Source organism: Homo sapiens, chromosome 2 (assembly GCF_000001405.40).
Source record: "Homo sapiens chromosome 2, GRCh38.p14 Primary Assembly".
NCBI classification, from domain to species: domain Eukaryota; kingdom Metazoa; phylum Chordata; class Mammalia; order Primates; family Hominidae; genus Homo; species Homo sapiens.
In genome coordinates, this window is record NC_000002.12 from 68,252,950 (window position 1) to 68,274,032 (window position 21,083).

The 21,083-nt window shown below is 36.7% G+C and overlaps 1 long non-coding RNA gene across 2 annotated transcripts in view, besides 1 other annotated feature; it reads left to right on the plus strand.

The window, feature by feature from the left end:
* Nucleotides 1–21,083, plus strand: part of PPP3R1-AS1 (PPP3R1 and CNRIP1 antisense RNA 1) — a 48,404-nt gene that overhangs the window by 1,347 nt on the left and 25,974 nt on the right. The window lies entirely within an intron of this gene.
* Nucleotides 33–702: an enhancer, noted in NCBI's record as "H3K27ac hESC enhancer chr2:68480114-68480783 (GRCh37/hg19 assembly coordinates)". NCBI's record gives its function as "activates a minimal SCP1, AML or CMV promoter by ChIP-STARR-seq in primed H9 embryonic stem cells {active_cell/tissue: H9 hESC(primed)}" and the evidence as "EXISTENCE:reporter gene assay evidence [ECO:0000049][PMID:30033119]".

The following is a 21,083-nucleotide window of genomic DNA, read 5'->3' on the forward strand; positions in this document are numbered from 1 at the left end:
GGAGGAGCAGAGGAGCAGTCTTAGGGTGTCAGAACCACCCGGATGCCGCACCAAAAAACAGGAAAAATCCAAGTCCTGCGAGAGGCAGTCAAAGGTATCTGTGCATCCGTGTACCGACTTGGATCCACTACAGAATTGCACGGCCCATCAGGACTGCTGTCACCCCGGTGCAGCACCCGCAGGCCCATCTGTAATATGAATTGGCAGAGTCAGGAACCAGGTTGCAAAGACAGAGAAGCGAGCCAAAGCTGGCCGCAGCCCGAGGCGTGGGGAGAACCTGGGCAAACGAGGAGAAGGGATACTTCCCACTCGCAGAAAGACTTTCCACCCAGCTCTGCATTCCCATAAACCGTCCAGACTCCCCTTTGGCGGAGTCCATCAGTTTTTGTTTAAAAAAAGAAAAAAACTCGAATGTAGATTGCCCGCTTATCCTTTTAGTAGAGCTATATCCACTCCTGTGGCAATTATCTTCCCAGAAAATTCAGATTACAATAGGAAATTACATCCAGAAAAGCATAAGGAGGAAATTTATGTTCGAGAGAAGAAATAAAGCTGTCAGGAGAGGTGTGATGAGGATAACGAAGAAAACATTTTGCAACTATTTTAACCAGTTATTCCTTTACAAGCCTTGATAATCGCCCGCACTCGTGTGTGTTTGAGAGTGTGTGTGTGTGTGTGTGTGTGTGTGAGAGAGAGAGAGAGGATGTTTTCTGAGTGATCGGAAACTCCTTATTGATAAAGCCTTTGAGTCATTTTATAAAAAGCCATTGTGTTGTTTTTTTTTAAAAAAGTCTTAATGATCCTTACATGAGAACTTTATTCTTTTTATGTGCTAATTATTTTTCCATATGATGAGCATGCATTTTTTTCTAATAAACGCTCAGCGATTTGCCCTAGGACTAAATGGTTCCTGTCTCTCTTTCTCTCTGTCTTTCTCTCTCTGTCAATCCCCCCCTCCCCGCCCCTCCATCCCTCCCCTTCCCCCTTCAGGAGCTACTTTGCTTCTGTGTCAGGATGAATAAGGAAAAGAACTTAGACATAACAAGCTGTGTCACACAGTGAATGTATCAAGGAAAGGCCAAGAAGGGACACTTTCTTCCACAAGTTTCTTGATTTAAATATGTTGCTATTTGATACTAACATATTACAGAACAAGAAAAAGTCCCTAGGGTATATGTGTAACGTTTTCTAGGTATACTATTTAAAATTAGTTTTTTATCATAAAAAGACGTGCTTTTTAAGAAAAAGTACTGTATGCAAAATTCTTCCTCTCTCCACTTACCAGAGGTAATCATGCTAACTGCATTTGTTTGTGTCCCTTGGACATTTTCAGTGAAAATCAAATTATTTTAACTAAGGGGTATGCACTAAGAAGGAATTCGAGCTATTTGGAATACAGTGGATTTAAAATAACCCATAATTTTGTTGTGTTGGAGGCAATTTATACTAGTCTGAATTCAGTAAGATAAGTAAATCCAAAATGCACCTTTAATAGGTTTTTCATCAAAAGGCTGAGGGGAAAAGTATGGTAAGTAGTCATTCTCCTTTTTGTCTCTTTCCATTAAATTTTGATGTAAAGCTTAGTGTGAGTGGGAACAGGTACCAAACAGTCCTGCAGAAGCATATGTGTTTTTAAAAATGTATGTACCAAATAGCCCTGCTAAAGGCATACATGTTTTTAAATAACTAGATAAATGAAGAGGTAATGGACATATCTTTGTGGCTTATTTTTCCTAGAAAATTTAACAAGCTCTTAGATGATTATCAGAAAGAATTATGTCAGATAAATTGAAGGGAGAAACACTTAAGACAGGGATGCCAGTTACAAGAATTAGTAACAGGTAGGCATGAGGTGATAAGGGATACCAATGGCAGAGGAAAGGAAAGGCGAGTATGAACAACATGAAGCAAAAATGGACTGACTATGCAACATAGTGGATGTGTGGAACAGAGAGGGAGAAATAAAAGGTGACCAGTTTTCGTTTTGATGACAGGAAATAGTGTTAACATTAAGAGAAATGGAGAGGTCCAAAGTTTGGCTATTGAGTGAGAAGAGATGAGTTTAGATTTAAAGATGCAAAGTTTTAGTTGCTGATGAGCTATCCCAGTGGAAGCACCCAAATAGAAGCTGAAAGTGCAGGTTAGAAAGGAATAGAGATATGGGAATCAATTTTAAAAAGGATTAAAATGAAATCTTCAAATTTTTCCTTATTTAATTAGTGATAGGAGAAGGAAAAGACCCAGAAATGATAATAAAGCTGCTAGGTAGAAAATTAAAGGAAAAGAAGGTTTTAAGAAAGAGAGAGTAGACCGGGCAAAGTGGCTCACGCCTGTAATCCCAGCACTTTGGGAGGCCAAGGTGAGTGGATCACCTGAGGTCAGGAGTTCAAGATCAGCCTGGCCAAACTGGTGAGACCCTGTCTTTACGAAAAATACAAAAATTAGCTGGGTGTTTTAGTACGTAGCTGTAATCCCAGCTACTTGGGAGGCTGAGGCAGGAGAATTGCTTGAACCTGGGGGATGGAGGTTGCAGTGAGCCAAGATCGAACCACTATTGCACTCCAGCCTGGGCAGCAGAGCAAGACTCTGTCTCAAAAAAAAAAAAAAAAAGTGGGTAATGTTTACAGTCATGTTTGACCATAGGCAGCCTCAGACTTCTGTGTCTCCACAATTACCATTAGGAAGTTAGAAATGTCACAAGATATTATTTCCTCCGTAGACCTTTAAGATAACAGTGACATCCAGAAAGTTGCCTTACTCTTAAAGGACTGATCACTGCCATTACTTTATATATAATATTTAAGGGTTTCAGGAGAAACAAATTACCATTTCTGTAGTTGTTTAAGGTATTTACAGTATTACTCCCCAAATGGCCACTTTTAGTAATGATTATATTTACTAACATCAACTAGAAACTATGTTTGATTTTTCTACTCTTCTTGTACATAGGAAGAAAATGCCAATCAAAAATGAAAGTCAGTTAAAACCACTTGAAAGCAATGTCTGTTCCTTTTTAGAATGGAAAGTTGGAGGAAACTTCAGCCTCTCCTCTTAGATAAAATGCATGCCCCAGGTTAAGAATTCCAGGTGTAAGAATACTTTGTACCTTTTTGCCACATAGTTCCATACCACAAGATTCCCTTCTCAGTGGACACTGAGGTTGCATAGGGAATAGATCACCTTCCTTCTCAGAATTCTTTTTTGTAATGAGGAGAACGCAGGGATGCAAGCTAGCCCCCTACTCCAGGGTGTGGTTGAGAAAGGGCTCCCAGGCACCTGAGATGCCAAGAGAAGTGGGTCATTCCCTTCCTGCTAAGCAGCAGAGGTTTTTGCCAAGGATCTAAATTCCATCTTGGAAACTCATTTCTCCATAGAAACCATTTCACAAAGAGTTCTATAAACAATGGCCTTCCTGCAAAAAGCCTACTTAAATTACAATGTAGCTGAAATTCTGTGTATTTGCTACTAAAAGTTCAATAGTAGAAAATAATACTCTTAAATATATGTATCTTTTTGAATTAATGCATTTGGGAAAAAATGTATTCCAAGTACTAGATGGGTTTTTTTCTTTAATTGTACATATAATTACTTTTAAAATTATGGACTTTGTATAACTTTTCCAGTTCCCACAAGAGAATTAAGAATATTGAATTTGTTCAAAATTAAGCCTTCTATCACTTACTTTTTAGATGAAATACAAATTAGGACAGTTTTTAAATTAGGAGTTTCCTAATAAAAAAATTATATGATAAATTAGTTACATAAGTTGTTTCCATACTATGCACTGGAACAAAAAGAAAAGGAAAGAAAAAGACTTCATAAGATTTATTCCTAAACCTCTTGCATTCACACTAATTTTGTGTGTTAGAAGAAAAGCCCACAGTGTTTTTAAACAGTTTGTTAACGCTCTTTACATAATGAGCTTTATTCTTTTTCTATGCTAATTATTTTTTCATGTATGAGTACATTACAGTTGGGTGATTATCTACATAAAAATGACTTGAAATCAAGAAAGAGAGGACAGAGATCAGAGAGTTTAAACAGTAAAGACCTGGGGCAAGGCAGAACTAAAGGGAGCATCTACGTTTGAGTGGCAGAAGGAAAAAGAAGTGATAGGAAAGATGATGAGCAAACCAGAAGGGCAGAAGACCCAGTAAGGATACCCTGGAAGCTGAAAGGGAGGAGTTCAAGATCAAAGGTTGATCAACATCATCTAGTGGCTGGGGGGTCCAGCAGTGTGGTCAGAGAGGACCAAGACAGATGGAGGTGTCCATTGAGGTGTCCTAGATTATGTCATGACATTGTTTATCTGAATTAAAAGTCTGTCTCATTTATTTGGTCTTTTGCACATAAAAGTGAATACCAAGAAAAAGCCTGGTTATTTGGACTTTGATAGTATTTCCATTTTACTAGTTTAGTAAGAGTATTTTATACCATCTTCTTAAACATAACAGAAAATATAATGTAAATGTAAAACAAAACTATTATGGCACTAGAGAATACCTATCTGTCATACTTGTTGACTCACTAATGCATGTATGCACTCAAAAATAACTGTGTGCTTAGCTCCACACATGTATCAGTGAGACTGGAGTGAGACCCTAGTTCTAATCTCACTTCTGGTTCCAGGACATTCCTGTGTGAATTTTGGATAGTCATCTAGCCTAAGTTGCCTAATATGATAGTCAGTAGCCACTTTTAGCTATTTAAGTTTACATTAATTTAAATGAATAAAAATTCAGTTCTTCTGTCTTGTTAACTACATTTCAAATGCTCAGTAGCTGCATACCTAGTGGCTATGGTATTGGACATTAAAGAAAGTTCTTTTAGGCAGTACTCATGTAAGTTCTTTGCCTCAAAGTTTTCATCACCAACCACTGATATAATGCTTGTTTATTATAAAGGTAGGCACATTTCAAATATAATGAGTTAAACTACCTTAAGTGCTCTTAACAATTTGAACAAACATGCAATTAAATCCCCCTTTAAAAAAAAAAAAAAAAAAGGCCGAGCGTGATGGCTCACGCCTGTAATCCCAACGCTTTGGAAGGCTGAGGTGGGCGGATCACGAGGTCAGGAGTTCAAGACCAGCCTGACCAACATGGTGAAACCCCGTCTCTACTGAAAATACAAAAATTAGCTGGGCATGGTGTGTGCGCCTGTAATCTCAGCTACTCAGGAGGCTGAGGCAGGAGAATCGCTTGAACCCGGGAGGTGGAGGTTGCAGTGAGCTGGTATCACACCACTGCACTCCAGCCTGGGCAACAGCAAGACTCCGTCTCAAAAAAAATAATATATATATATATATATATATATATATATATATATATATTCAAGCAAATGAAAACATACTAATATCAGAATATATATATTAGATTTTATAAATATGAGAGACTGAAGACAAATGTTGTCAGTACTTTTACCAAAATTCATATATTCTTTATTAAAATGTGTCAAACAATATATTACAATGTAAAAAGATATTTCACAACAAATGCAATAGAAAATGTTTAATTTATAAAAATATTTTAGCAACTGCATAAAATTAATAGTTAATTTACTTCAGAAATTGTACTTTGTTTTCATGAAAGATTTTTATTTTTCCCTATAATCCAATTTTCACATTTTACCCAAAGCCTTAAGATATATTTCAAGTAGCAATCAGAACACTATAGAAAAATTTTTAATGGCTGGGCACGGTGGCACACGCCTGTAATCCCAGCACTTTGGGAGGCCGAGGTGAATGGATCACGAGGTCAGGAGATTAAACCATCCTGGTCAACATGGTGAAACCCCGTATCTACTAAAATACAAAAAATTAGCCAGGTGTGGTGGCCCACGCCTGTAGTCCCAGCTGTTTGGGAGACTGAGGCAAGGGAATTGCTTGAACCCAGGAGGCGGAGGTTGCAGTGAGCCGAGATCGTGCCATCACACTCCAGCCTGGTGACAGAGCAAGACTCCATCTCAAAAAAAAGACAAAGAAAAAAGAAAAAAATTTAAATGCAGAGGGCATGTGGTAAGGGATATTTGGGTCATCTCACAAAAATTCTTAAGATTCTTTAACAAAGGATTAGGATTTCAGTTGTATATTCTATCTAAAAATATAAAAATAACATTTCATAGTACTGAATCAGGACTTTGTGCATGAACATACTGAATCCAGTTCTTTCAATTGTCAAAATTTTTCTGAGGGAACTTTGATGGTAGACTGTGGCTTCCAAAGAAAAAATAAGAGTACAAGCTATTTTTGGAAGACAAGAAAATGAGTAAACTAGTTAAAAAAGATTGGTTTGGCATGGAATATTCATTCGTTAACTTAACTCATCTGATGCTTGAAAAGGTATATACTCCAGGATCAGGCTGACCACTAGAAAAGGGAACATTATTTTCAAACTAAAACTCACGTGTACTAGGGATTAATAGGTTTTGGATGGCAGACTTCAAAAGTCCCCACTGACTCCTCTTGGGAATAAGGAGCAAATGCCACTGCAATGCCATTCAGTCGTGAGTAAACAATGACGAGAACATAACTTAGGGTGGCATTTTCTAGGTGGGGATATATACAGAGCAGGGGACACTGAGGCCATATATTGGGCATTAGTAACCTGCGTTTGCATGTCCTTTACTTCTGTTGTTTCCACGAGAAGAAAATACTCTGAACATTGCGCTATTGTTTTTGAGCAAGCCTGTTCTCTCTTTTGCCTGACTCTGGACACTGCATAATTGTTTAATGGCGTAAATGGAATAGCTTAATTCTAAAAGATCCTTGGCGAAACAGTACTGGATCATTAACATGGTTATTATAGAAGATGTTTTAAATACGGAAAAGGGTAAAGAAAGGAAAACCATCTGTAATCATAACACCGTAATCACTATGTTTGGATGTATAGCCAATCATATATATATATATAATGTATAGAGATGTATTTATTAATTGGGCATGTACTGTTTTATTAAATACTTTTTCACTTAATATTTGGGGAATATTCCTCACATCTTTCAATATTCTTTATGAATATTTTTGATTATATATATCCAATTATGTTAGTATATGCCTTAATTTATTTAACAAATCCTTTATAAATTTTGATTTTGGTTCTTTTCAGTTGTTTTCTATTATAGACAATGATATATATATCTTTTTTTTTCTTTTTTTTTTTTTTTTTTGAGACAGAGTCTCACTCTGTCACCCAGGCTGGAGTGCAGTGGCACGATCTCGGCTCACTGCAAGCTCTGCCTCCCGGGTTCACGCCATTCTCCTGCCTTAGCCTCCCAAATAGCTGGGACTACAGGCGCCTGCCACCACGCCCGGCTAATTTTTTGTATTTTTACTAGAGACGGGGTTTCACCCTGTTAGCCAGGATGGTCTCGATCTCCTGACCTCGTGATCTGCCCGCCTCGGCCTTCCAAAGTGCTAGGATTACAGGCGTGAGCCACCGCGCCCGGCCGATATATATATCTTTGACAAGGTCCCACTTTGTGGCCAGGCTGGCGTGCAGTGACACAATTGCAACTCACTGCAGCCTCAGCTTCCTGGGCTCAAGCAATCCTCCCTCCTTAGCCTCACAAGTAGCTGGGACCATAGGTGCGTGCCACCATACCTGGCTAACTTTTGTATTCTTTTTTTGTAGAGATGGGGTTTTGCCATGTTGCTCAGGCTGGTCCCAAACTCCTGAGCTCAAGAAATCAGCCTTCCTTGGCCTCCCAAAGTGCTGGGGCTATAGGTTTGGGGCACTGCACCCGGCTGGGCATAAACATTTTTTTAAGTTTGTGACCCCGTATATTTGTGCACCCATATAGGCTGAATAATAGCAGTACTAATATATAACCCAAACATTACCATCTTTAACCTAATTATTTATTTTATCCTAACAACTACTGCATTCCTAGCACTCAATCTGAATTCAAGCACCACAGCCCTATTACTATCCCACGCCTGAAACAAACTAACATGATTAATATCCATAATTTTATCAATTTTATTATCCCTAGGGGGCTTACCCCCATTTACAGGATACCAGCCTAAATGAATTATTATCCAAGAATTTACAAAAAACAAGAAGCACCCATTTTTCCACAACTATACAAACTATATGTTGATATTTCCTTTAAACATAGGCTTTTAAACAAGTGGCATCTCATCTTAATTTGCATTTCTTGGTTTTATGGTAATATTGAACATTTTTCCAAAGTTTTGATCTTTTACATCAACCACTAAGAATATATCCCTGTGACTTACCTGTTCAGTGCCCACTTTTCTTGAGGAAATTTGTCTATACATTTTGTATATGAAGGATATGACCCCCATACATTTGTTAGGATGACTCCACCAAGTTTATAGTTTGACTTTTGATTGTTTGTGGCATTTTTAAAGTTTATTTTTCATCCTATATATGGGAGAAAATACAACATACAGATGACAGCTAAAGAGCTCATATCCTTAATATATAGGTATCCTAGTTAATTGTGAACTATTTTTTCTTATTAATCTATGACTTCTATGCTGAAAATTGCATATGTATATTCAATGACTAGACTTGAAGGTAAAATAGTAAATTAATAAAAACTTTTACTTACAGAACATGGGTTAATTAAGTCTTACTTGACATTGGCTACTTTACTATTGAATAACTAATCAAATTCATCGAAAACTTCATTTTTACCTTAAAAATAAGCAAAACTAATGTATCCATCATTTTTTCAATGAAGGGTCAAGTAATGTATGCAAATACTACATTAAGGCCACATAATGAGCTACCCATACAACTGACAAATGAAGTCTTCAGAGATTTTTTTTAGAAACAGCTGAAGATAATATGGTCTGAAAATGTCATATGGTATAGGGTCAACTGCATGTGTTATTTTGTTATAATTTGTACCAATTACACACATAAACCACATATGCATCTGGTTATAAAATGTTCTATATGTCATATACATTGCTGTACCGCATTTCTCTATCCAAGCACATACACCATTCTAAAAATTATGCAAAATTTTTTTGGGAGGCTAAGGCCAGTGGATCACGAGGTCAGGAGATCGAGACCATCCTGCCTAACACGGTGAAACCCCATCTTTACTAAAAATACAAAAAATTAGCCTGGCATGGTGGCGGGCACCTATAGTCCCAGCTACTCGGGAGGCTGAGTCAGGAGAATGGTGTGAACCCGGGAGGCAGAGCTTGCAGTGAGCCGAGATTTCGCCACTGCACTCCAGCCTGGGGGACGGAGCAAGTCTCCGTCTGAAAAAAAAAAAAATTATGCAAAATTTTATATCATATTGTTCTTTCTCTCCATGGTACCCTAAGTAATTGACAGAAAATAAAACCAGCCACTTATTTGTACCTAAAGGTAACTGCAACATTGTTCCTCTATATCTATGTTCTGTGAATGTAATAGAAGGATTTGCTTCAACAAAAGTAACATCATAACTAGATACAGTTACAAGTCTGATTTAAGTTTTAGGTAGTTAATTCCTTCTGTTTTCCTGGTAGAATAGATTATTCCTTGTGCATATTCTAAATTAGAAATATCTTTTATAAAAAAGAATTGACTGCTTATATCGGTTCTCTTTGTAATAATTAAAATTGTCATATACATTTGTTTTTTATTTTAGAGCAAACTTGTTGGAACCAAACTCAAAATATTCACTAGCACATTATCTATAATGCTGTTCTTCCAGGAAAATGAAAGTAATCAAAAAGGTGTATTTCAAAGAAATATACTTTTAGAAATAAATACATATGATATAATTTATGTATATATGATATTGTAAATTGTTAAGATATAGTAAATGAGCCATGCCTCCTTGTTCAAAATTATATCACTAAAATTAATCAGTGTGCTTTAAAAAAGTCTACTCTTTTGAAAATAATTTATAAATTTGTATAAGATATATAAAATTTATAATACTCTAAGAATTTATTTTTGCATAAATGGCAAATTGCACTAGTGCTAAAATTCTCAAGGTCAGAGCTGAAAATTGCACTGTAAATACATTTTGTGCATTTTATCAGAATGGGGAAGTTGGTTGCATTTCTAAGAAAATATTTAAAATTGTATATTTTTGAATAAAAATGAAATGTTTGGTAAATAAGTTTTTTTTTCAGTGAATTCCATGTGTTCTTTGATTTTAAAGAGCATGTTCAATTCCTCACAAAATCAAAAAGAGTTCTGTTAACTACTCAAGTGACAAATCTGAAGGAAGAGAGGCATTAAAATGTAAACAAATTACCTATATTCAAAAGCAATAGAGTTTCAGGGCCCATTCCACTTTAGGCACAAATTTTGTCAATGGTGATTTTGCTTAGTTTCAATTTGTTTTTCCCATTATATATCAAAATTGTTGCTCATTTTAGTTCCAAGACATCACTATAGTCATTAGTTACCCTGTCTAAGAAGAAAAGATTCTTACTTTTACTATAAATCAATGTATTTACAATTAGCAGGGACCTGTGTCCTTTCCCATTGTCGGCATCTGTGTAAGCATGGTTTGCCAAGAAAAAAAAAGACTTTGCAAAAAGCAATGGGGAATAGTGAAGTGTGAAGAGTGAAGAAGCAGTAGAGCCTCCAGCATAACAATTGCAATCAGGTCCTTCCAGAAACTCATGCTCGAGCTATATACTTTCTGGCCGTCATCCCTCCTTTCTTGCCTACACTAATCTCAAATCCTGAGCTTTGAAATCCCCAACCTACACCTGTTTCCAACCCAGTCTTCTATCCTTGATTCTTTTTATGAGATCCTATAAAGCACTGAAATTAGCAATTATAGTGGATCTACCCAAGAGCCAGAGGATGGTTTTATTTGCAGAAAGCAGGTAACAGAAAGCACTTTAAAATTGATTGTGCTGTCTACAATGCTGTGTAAACATTTGGTATGACTAAACAGATCCTCCCCCTGTCATGTAATTGGATAAATTGCAAAGTAAGAGTACGGCCCACCGTGATATTTTGTAATCTCCTTTTCATCACAAAAACTGATGTTATAGAAAAAAGACCTTTCTTCTAACTTAGAAGCATTAGACCCTATGGTCCTTCTTTAAATGTGACTACATTTCTTATTTTTCATCTATCTTTCTTTCTTTTTTTCTTTTTTTCTTTTTTTTTTTTTTTTTTTTTTTGAGACAGGGTCTTGCTCTGTCACCCAGGCTGGAGTGCAGTGGTGCTATCTCGGCTCACTGCACCCTCCACCTCCCGGGTTCAAGTGATTCTCGTGCCTCAGCCTCCCCAGTAGGTAGGATTACAGGCACGTGCCACCACACCCGGCTAATTTATGTATTTTTAATAGAGACAGGGTTTCACCATGTTGGCCAGGCTGGTCTCGAACTTCCCATCTCAAGTGATCTGCCCGCCTCAGCCTGCCAAAGTGCTGGGATTACAGGCATGAGCCACCACACCCATCTTATTTTTATCTATCTAAGTTATACAGCAACACAAGAAACTCTTCTTAATGGTATATCATAAAGAGAGATGGCATAAATGAAACATTGCATAATGGTATTCATTTTAAATTAAACCTAAATATGTAAATATCCAAGGTCTAATTAGCAATGGATATTCTTAGTGTACAATAAAACTGCATTAATCTGGACACCAAAGATGTTGAATCATTTGCCTTTAGAAGATGCTTTGAGAAGATTGGTCTTTGGAGACTCAAACAAAAAGATCCTGGTGTTCAAAGGACATGTGTTTAAGAATAAGGATTTATGAAGTTAAGGTCATGAGAGGAGTCTCAGAAGACTCAAATCAAGGAGTGATAGAGATGGGCATGTTCTTATAATAGAGTAACATAGGCATTGGCTAAAAAAGATCTACAGGATGTTTAGATAGTGATGGGTAGGCAGGTTAGACACTGTGAATACTGAGTTTAAGAACTTTGAACCACAACAGCGTACTCCGGGACCCAGCATTGGTGGAGAAGCATTGAGAGGTCTGAGCCTGGCTGGTTAGTGTGGAACGAAGAATCACAGGTATGGCTGGAAGAGCATGGGAATGAGTATTTGTAGTTTATAAAGACACAATTTTAAGCACTTTGAAGCCTCTACCATGTGCTATTTTTAAGTCTTCTCAGTTGATTGAGTCTGAGAAGAGTGAAGATTAAGTGCTGGGGCTGAAAGTTTAACCTAGATCTGTGTGACTCCAAAACCCAACCTTTTCAGCACTATGTTATACTGCCATTTGGTGCATAACTATGGGACAGGGGGGTGCAGATGTGCGTACACATGCATTATACATTTCATTATATATTTCATTTTCTTTTTTAAATAAAATAGGATCATGCTGTTTTGTAACTGTTTCTCTCATCAAATCTTGTGTTCACATAACGCATTAAGTTTTGGAGAGCTTTGGTAACAGTGGTTCAAGATACCCAAACGTAAGCCTAAGAACAAAGTGTAAATAAAACCCAATTCCCTCCACAAAGAACAGACCCAGAAGGCCATACTAAAGGTACCAGTGACTTGGGCAATTTGTCTGTCATCCAATAAGCCCAGAAGTTGCCATGAGAAGAGAGATAATGGTCCAATTTCTTTGACTTTGTCAAAACAGTCAAATCATGGAGACATTTTAAGACATTCATGACCACAAATTCAACAACATTTTCCCATTTAGAACATTTTGGGCTATTATGCAGAAATCGCAGAAATACAATCTTCTCTATTGTTTCCAAATAAGTTTATACTCATTAGATGGTAATATGCAACAGTAAATTTTTTAAGAGTTACAATGTTGCTTATACAATAAATAAATAAGTGTATTTCCAAGATATATGGGAAGCAGATATGTGGAGTAAGAAAATGATTTTTTAAGCTATCATTTCCTTGTTTAAGCCACAGTCATGCTTTGGTCCCATTGCTTGCACATGTAATCCTGCCGAATACTGTTTTGTTATTTCAAAGTTGGTGGTTGTATATATAAAATATGATATTGAAATAAAAATCTGAGAAGTAATTGAAATGAAAATCTGAGAATAAGGTAGTGAAATGAAAATCTGAGAAGAAAAAGTTTTTAAAAATCCATTTTTATTACTCATATCTCCAGTTTCACAAGTTTAACTGTTACTCTTTTAATAAAATCCATGAAGCCCATTATAGAAATCAAAAGAGGCAATAAGCAGCTCATAAATGAAAGAGCCTAAAAAAGGAAACATAAGAAAACAGAATAGGGAGAGTTTTTTTTTTTTTTTTTTAAACGGCCTTTGTACAGACCTCTTCTCTTATCTGGAAAGGCTAGTAGAGCATTTGGGATGTGGGTGAGGCCATGTTTTAAGTTAAAGCCTTTATTTTTAAAGGAATGATTTACTTACTATTTATTATTAATAAGGTCATTATTGAACAAAAGCCAGAGATCTTAGTGATTTTTGAAACGTGAAAACTTTTCATTACTTTCTATTTAACATTATCATTTGTATTTCACTCTTTCCAATACAGAAAGCTAAAAGAAATACCTCCTCCCTGAAAACAACATTATCGTTAACTGGTAACTGTTCAAAAAGTCCATTTTATTTTTTTCTGAAAGTCTTTCTTTAAAGGCTAGATGATAATAAGATGTACTATGGTGATATGTTGGTTTTAGACACAAATTTCATTTAAAACTTAGATTTCATATTTGGAAGTTTTTATCAGGTTGGTTCTGTTACTTGAGGTGCTATCCACATTTTGAAGTTTTTCTTAATTTATAATGATAAGGGAAGTTTTTAAATCAAGGTAAACAATTTGCTCCTAAATAGAAACAGCTGAAGTTGATTATCAAAATCTTAGCATGGCAAGCTTCATTTATTTACGATGACAATGTGGGTACTTAAAATCAGCCTTAAATTGTGACATAATTTTTTTAAAAAACAACATACATATGACATCCTAGCCAGATCAATCAGGCAAGAGAAAAAATAAAAGGCATCCAAATTTGAAAAGAGGAAGTCAAATTATTTGCTAGCAATATGATCTTATACCTAGAAAACTTTAAAGACTCCTCCAAAGACTTCTAGATTTAATAAGTGATTTAGTAACATTTCAAGATACAAGATCAGTGTACACAAATCAGTTGCATTTTTATACACCAATAACAACCAAGCTGAGAACAAAATCAAGAAGTCAATTCCATTCAGGATAGCTCCAAAAAACAAAACAAAACAAAAAAAAACCCCACACAAGATGCCTAGGAACGTATTTAACCAAGAAGGTGGAAGATCTCTGCAAGGAAAACTATAAAACATTGATGAAAGAAATTGTAAATGACACAAACAAATGGGAACATCCCATGCTCATGGATTGGAAGAATCAATATTGTTAAAATGGCCATATTGTCTAAAGCAGGGCAATCTACAGATTCAATGCAATTCCTATCAAATACCAACTTCATTTTTCACAAAATTAGAAAAAAAACAATTCTAAGATTCGTATTAACCAAAAAAGATCCCAAATAGCCAAACTAATCCTGAGCACAAAGAACAAAGCTGGACGCATCACATTACTGGACTTCAAATTATACTACAAGGCAAGAGTAACCGAAACAGGATGGTACTAGTATAAAAACAGACACATAGATCAATGTAACAGTATAGAGAATTTGGAAATAAAGCCAATTACCTACAGCCAACTGGTCTTCAACAAGATTGACAAAAGCATATATTGGGAAAGGAACATGCTATTCAATAAATGGTGCTGGGAAAATGTGGATTGCCATATGCAGAATGAAACTGGACCCCTATCTCTCACCATATACAAAAATTAATGTTGATTAAATACTGAAATGTAAGACCTGAAAATATAAAAATACTAGAAGAAAACCTAACCAAAAACTTTGCCAGACATTGGCCTTGGCAAAGAATTCATGACTAAGACCTCAAAAGCAAATGCTACAAAACCAAAAATAGACAAATGGGACTTGATTAAATTAAAAACTTTTGCACTGCAAAATAAGTAGCAGAGTGAACAGGAATCCTGAACAATGGGAGAAAAATATTTGCAAACCATGCACCAGGCAAGGGACTAATCCAGAATCTACAAGGAACTCAAACAACTCAACAACAACAAAAACCAAGTAACCACATTAAAAAGGGGGCAAACGACATGAGCAGACATTTTTCAGAAAGAGACATATAAATGGTCAGCATCACTAATCATCAGAGAAATGCAAATTAAAACCACAATGAGATATTATCTTGTGTCAGTCGGAATGGCTATTATTTAAAAAAAAAACATGTTGGCAGGAAAAGGGAACACTTATACACTGTTGGTGGGAATGTAAATTAGTACAACCTCTATGGAAAACAGTATGGAGATTTCTCAGAAAACTAAAAATAAAACTCTCATTTGATACAGCAATCCCACCCAAAGGAAAAGAAATCATTATATCAAAAAGATACCTGCACTTGTAGGTATCTGTGGCACTATTCACAATTGCAAAGATGTAGAATCAACCTGTTTCCATCAATGGATGATTGGATAAAGAAAATATGGTGTATATCTATACCATATATACTTAGCCATAAAAAAGAATGAAATCATGTTTTTTGCAGAAACATGGATGGAACTGGAGGCCATTATCTTAAATGAAATAACTCTGAAAGTCAAATACCACATGTTCTCATTTGTGAGAGCTAAAAAATGTGTACACATTGACATCGAGTGTGGAAGAACAGACACTGGAGACTTGGGAGGATGGGAGGGTTGGGAAGGGAGTGAGGGATGAGAAATTACTTAATGGGTACAATATACACTATTTGGATGATGGTTACACTAAAAGCCCAGACTTCATTACTATGTAATATATCTGTGTATCAAAACTACACTTGTATCCCCAAATTTATACGAATAAAAAAAATGGGCCTCTGAATTTGGAACACCAGACTTTGATATCCTAAGAATATATCTCTATTTTGGTTTGTGTATTTCAAAATTATCAAGTGTATATATTTTAAGTCGCTTACAGTTTTCAAAAGAAACATTTTTGCTTGTGGTGTTGTGGCTTCTATATATGGATTGAGTAGAACATCATATAGATGTCCTTCTCACAGTAACATAGTTGGAGGATGGCAGGCCTGTAATTAGGGAGGAGTGATGTATAAAACTGAATTCAAAGCAGTTAGCGTATTTCATCGTCCTAAAATGTATCAAACATCAGTTAATATAGGATGTTTACTTGAAGGACAAATCCCTCAGAAATGCTCACAGAGGCTGGATGAAGATCAGTCCTAAACATCATTAAATCTTGTTTTGGTATTTTAACATTCATTATTTGAATCTGATTTCTCCTCTTCAGCTTTTTCAAATGTGTTTGAATTAAGATCACTCATTGGTTTATCAGACATAAAATGAGAAAGGGGTTCCCGAGGTGGGTGCAGTGGTGCAGATGTGTAATCTCACTTAACTGGGAGGCTAAGGCAGGAAGAATGCTTGAGCCCAGGAGTTCAAGGATGCAGTGCGCTGTGATGGTGCATGTGAATAGCCACTGCACTTGAACATGGGCAACATGGTGAGATCTGGTCTCTTAAAAATAAGAGACTTCTTATGGAAGGAAGTAATCAATGCATTCTTAAAATCAGGTAATGTGTTTTATAAATACAGAGGTTGGTGAATCAAATCCAGGTCTTTAAGTTTTGTTCTGTATTTTGCTCTGCATTTTCTTAGTCCTTTCATGGGAACAAACTAAAACTTTGCCCCAATTCCTCCACCATGTGGATAGAGCAATCACAGCACATTTTGGGGTCCCAGTCCATTGGTAGGATATAAATTTTTTTTTTTTTTTTTTTTTTTTTTGAGATGGAGGCTCCCTCTGTCGCCTAGGCTGGAGTGCAGTGGCGCGATCTCCGTTCACTGCAAGCTCCGCCTCCCGGGTTCACGCCATTCTCCTGCCTCAGCCTCCCGAGTAGCTGGGACTACAGGCGCCCGCCACCATGCCTGGTTAATTTTTTTGTATTTTTTTTTGTATTTTTAGTAGAGACGGGGTTTCACCGTGTTAGCCAAGATGGTCTCGATCTCCTGACCTCATGATCCGCCCGCCTTGACCTCCCAAAGTGCTGGGATTACAGGCGTGAGCCACTGCGCCCGGCCGGATATAAATATTGCTAAAGTGAACTTGAATTAAAAATGGCCTTTTAAAATGAGCAAAAAGCCCAGTGCAGTGGCTCATGCCTATAATCCCAGTGACTCTAGAGGCTGAGACTGGAGTATCTCTTGAGCCCAGAAGTTTGAGGCTGCAGTGAGCCACGATCGTGCCACTGCAATTTAGCCTGGGCAACAGAGCCAGACCTCCACTCTAACAAAAAATTTTTCTTTTGTTTTTGAGACAGGGTCTTACTCTGCTGCCCAGGCTAGAGTGCAGTGGCATGATCTTGGCTCACTGCAACCTCCACTTCCCGGGCTCAAGCGATTCTTATGCCTCAGCCTCCCAAGTAGTTGGGATTACAGTGCGTGTCACAACGCCCAGCTAATTTTTGTATTTTTTTGTAGAGACAGGGTTTGACCATGTTGCCCAGACTGGTCTCGAACTCCTGACCTCAACTGATCTGCCCACCTCGGCCTCCCAAAAGTGCTGGGATTACAGGTGTGAGCCACCACGCCCAGCCCAAAAAATTTTTCTAAAAGGGAAAAAAATAGAAAACACTCCTCTCAAAATCACAGTCCCTGTCTGGGATGCATTTTTCTCATCTCTAAACTGAGAAGCTTAGAAGAGATGAAGGCTAAGCTTCATCCCTTCCACTTCTAAAGGTCTATGCTTCTATTGTTTCCAGCAGACCTTTTGAAACCTAGCAGGGAAAAACCAGGCAAGGTCCAACTGCAGCCTCTAAGAGGAACACAGAAGAGCCTCTTAATTTCTTGGGCTCAGCAACCGTTTTACTTCAGAATATTATTTTAGTCTTCTGGCTACAGAACTGAATTTCCAACCTGAATCACATGGATCAATGTCAGAGTGAATCAGGCATTCTTATTCAAAATATACATGTGAACATATATTTTAAAAATAAATCTAAATAATATACCAATATAAAAATGTTCCCAGAACAATTTTTTTTTTTTTTTTTTTTGAGATGGAGTCTTGCTCTGTCACCAGGCTGGAGTGCAGTGGCACAATCTCGGCTCCACATCCCAGGTTCAAGTGATTCTCCTGCCTCAGCCTCCCGAGTAGCTGGGACTACAGGCCAATGCCACCATGCCCAGCTAACTTTTGCATTTTTTTAGTAGAGACGGGGTTTCACCATGTTGGCCAGGATGGTCTCGATCTCTTGACCTTGTGATCCACTAGCCTTGGCCTCCCAAAGTGCTGGGATTACAGGCGTGAGCCACCACGCCTGGCCACAAAATGATTTTTAAAAGGGAAGACAGGTAAATGGATCGTCATGCATGCCTGTAATCACCATTTACTTGGAAGGCTGAGACAGGAGAATCATTTGAGCCCAGGAGTTCAAGGCTGCAGTGAGCTATGACTGTGCGACTGCACTGCAGCCTGGGTGACAGAGCAAGACCTTGTCTCTAAAAAAAAATAAAAAATAAAATTTTGTAAAAGGGATCATCAGATATCTCTGAATCACAAATTGCTTTTATTCCTGGGAATAAGACAAAACCACCAAACCTCCAAAGACAGCATTCAAAGATGCCTTTTGCAATTTCGAAAGATCCTTATTTCTGCCATGATGCAGCTAATAGGATATGTACAAGGGCCTTTTTTCTCTTTCTTTCTTTCTTTTGTTTCTTTTCTTTCTTTCTTTCTTTCTTTCTTTCTTTCTTTCTTTCTTTCTTTTCTTTCTTTCTTTTTGTCTTGGAAGAAGAAAGGTCAGTAGTAGATTAGACTCTAATGTTTCAAGAGATTTCTTGGCATAGAAATTATTTTCAATGCCCAGAATGATGGAGGAATAGAAGATAAATGGGAGAGAAAACGGTTTGGATATATTTAGAAATAAAGATCTCCTAAAATAGCAAACACAAAAGGAGAACTAGTGGTACATTTTGTGTAATTGTGGAAGATGTTTAAAGGCTTTGTTGTCTTTCTTCACTTATGACCAAATTATTTTCTAAATTGTTAAAACTCAAAATACTTAATTTATCCTATATGTACTTTACATGCATTAAATTATTATGTAATAATAATTTTCTTGAAGATTCCATCAGCAACACAGTAACAGTAAATGCATGGTGCAAGACCTCATATTATAAATCATACTTAATGTACAGTATCAAAAATAAATTCACAACCTAACAACCAATCTGAAATCTAACTTCTCGTTGGAGGAATGAGATGTATTTTAATTATAGGTAATTGATTAGGTTTAATAACAAATTTAGAAAGCTTCCAGTTTGCCAGCAGTCAAAGTTATAACTGGGGCATACCAGCAAAAGGTAGCACTGGAATTAACACAGACTCAAATGTTAGTTCACCCACATTCTGCCTACTATCCCCATTCTCCTCCTGAACTACACCCCCATGTGTCTTTTGCATACAGAGCTCTCTTTGAAGCCAGCAAGTGTTTCATGCGTGGGAAATCAGGGGAATCAAAGCTACCTTATACAAAAGCATATGGTTAGGAGGCCAGGGGATGCTGAAAAAACACTGCATACATACTTACAGTGTCCCTATGGGGAGCTCATCTGACTATGAGACCCTCAAGTTTTGCACTTCTTATGCCTACGGTGTTTAAATTGGTGGCCTCAATTTTATAACACCAGGGTTTGTTTTCACATTTAGTTCCCTGGGATTTTTTTAAACTGACTTTGACAAAAAGGAAAAAAAGAAAAAGAGAGTGCAAAATAGGAAAAGAAGGCAGGGAGTGGGGAAAGAATAAATCATTATGCAGCTCTCAGCCTCCACAGGGAAACAGCAGTACAAACCCACAGATCCAGAATTGTCAAGCAATGGGGCTGTTTGTTTACAAGTCACAGAATCAGTTATGTAACTAGGGAAGTTAAAGAAACCTAGTGAGTGTGTGAGAGACTGATTCTTTTGAAATAGTCAAGAGACTTCATTTCTGAAATAGATTCATACAGATGTTCTGTATTCTTATTTTTGGTTGCTCTATAAATTTAGTTTTTGAGTTTTCCATGTAGATAATGACCCTTTATTCTTTATTATTATTATTAGATACACTAAAACACTTTCTTACCATGGGAGTTGCTAAAGTATCAGCATGTATTTTTAAGGGAAATTGAAATAGCTTTTTATCTTCTGATGTATTATGTTGGTAAAAAAGTAATTGCGGTTTTTGCCATTGAAAGTAAGGGCAAAACCGCAATTACTTTTGTACCAACCTAATAGAATTCTTGTCTGATTTAGCAGGAAAAATGTATTACATGACCAATAGATCAGTTCCAATTTCTGTCCACCCTTCACTCCGTTACTTCTTCTTTTAAAAAAAATTGTTTTCACTTTTATTCTCAAAGGAGGTGATCTTCTTTTTCTAATTGATTTTTTTTTGTTTGCTTGTTTGTTTAAGTTCTGGGACCATAAAGTGTTTATAAGATGCAGACCTTTAAAAATATTTCCATGTAAGCCAGGAACAGTCGCTCACCCTTGTAATCCGAACAATTTGGGAGGCTGAGGCAGGAGGATCACTTGAGGCCAGGAATTTGAGATCAGCCTGGGCAACATAGCAAGACTTCATCTTTAAAAATATAAAATGTATTTCCTTGTAAATACATTTTGTTGTAGATCTGAGACAGTGTAAAAATTTCAACTCTAAAGAAAAAAATTAGAAAATCAAATGATTTAAATAAATCATCATATTGGATTATAGTAAATTTCATAAATAAGTTATTCTCAACAAACACCTTAGATAAGAAAGTTTTTATGATCTGTTTAGTTAATATCTGCATTTATATTTAATACACTTTAAAAATGTGATTTTTTTCCTGAAAACTTAGAGCCACAATTTCAGGGCTATATTGGTAAAAATGGGAATTGACTCTGAAAGATTATAATTAATCAACTTCTGATAGCAAATTAAACTCAAACTATTGAGGTTGCAAAGTCAGTAACTTTATGAGACATTGTTTTTCTTTCTCATTCAGCTAACTCATTCTTCAGTGGGGTCAGTTTGGTGTCATATGTTACTCCATGGGGAAAAACCCTAAGGGGATTGATGGAGAAGGAAAA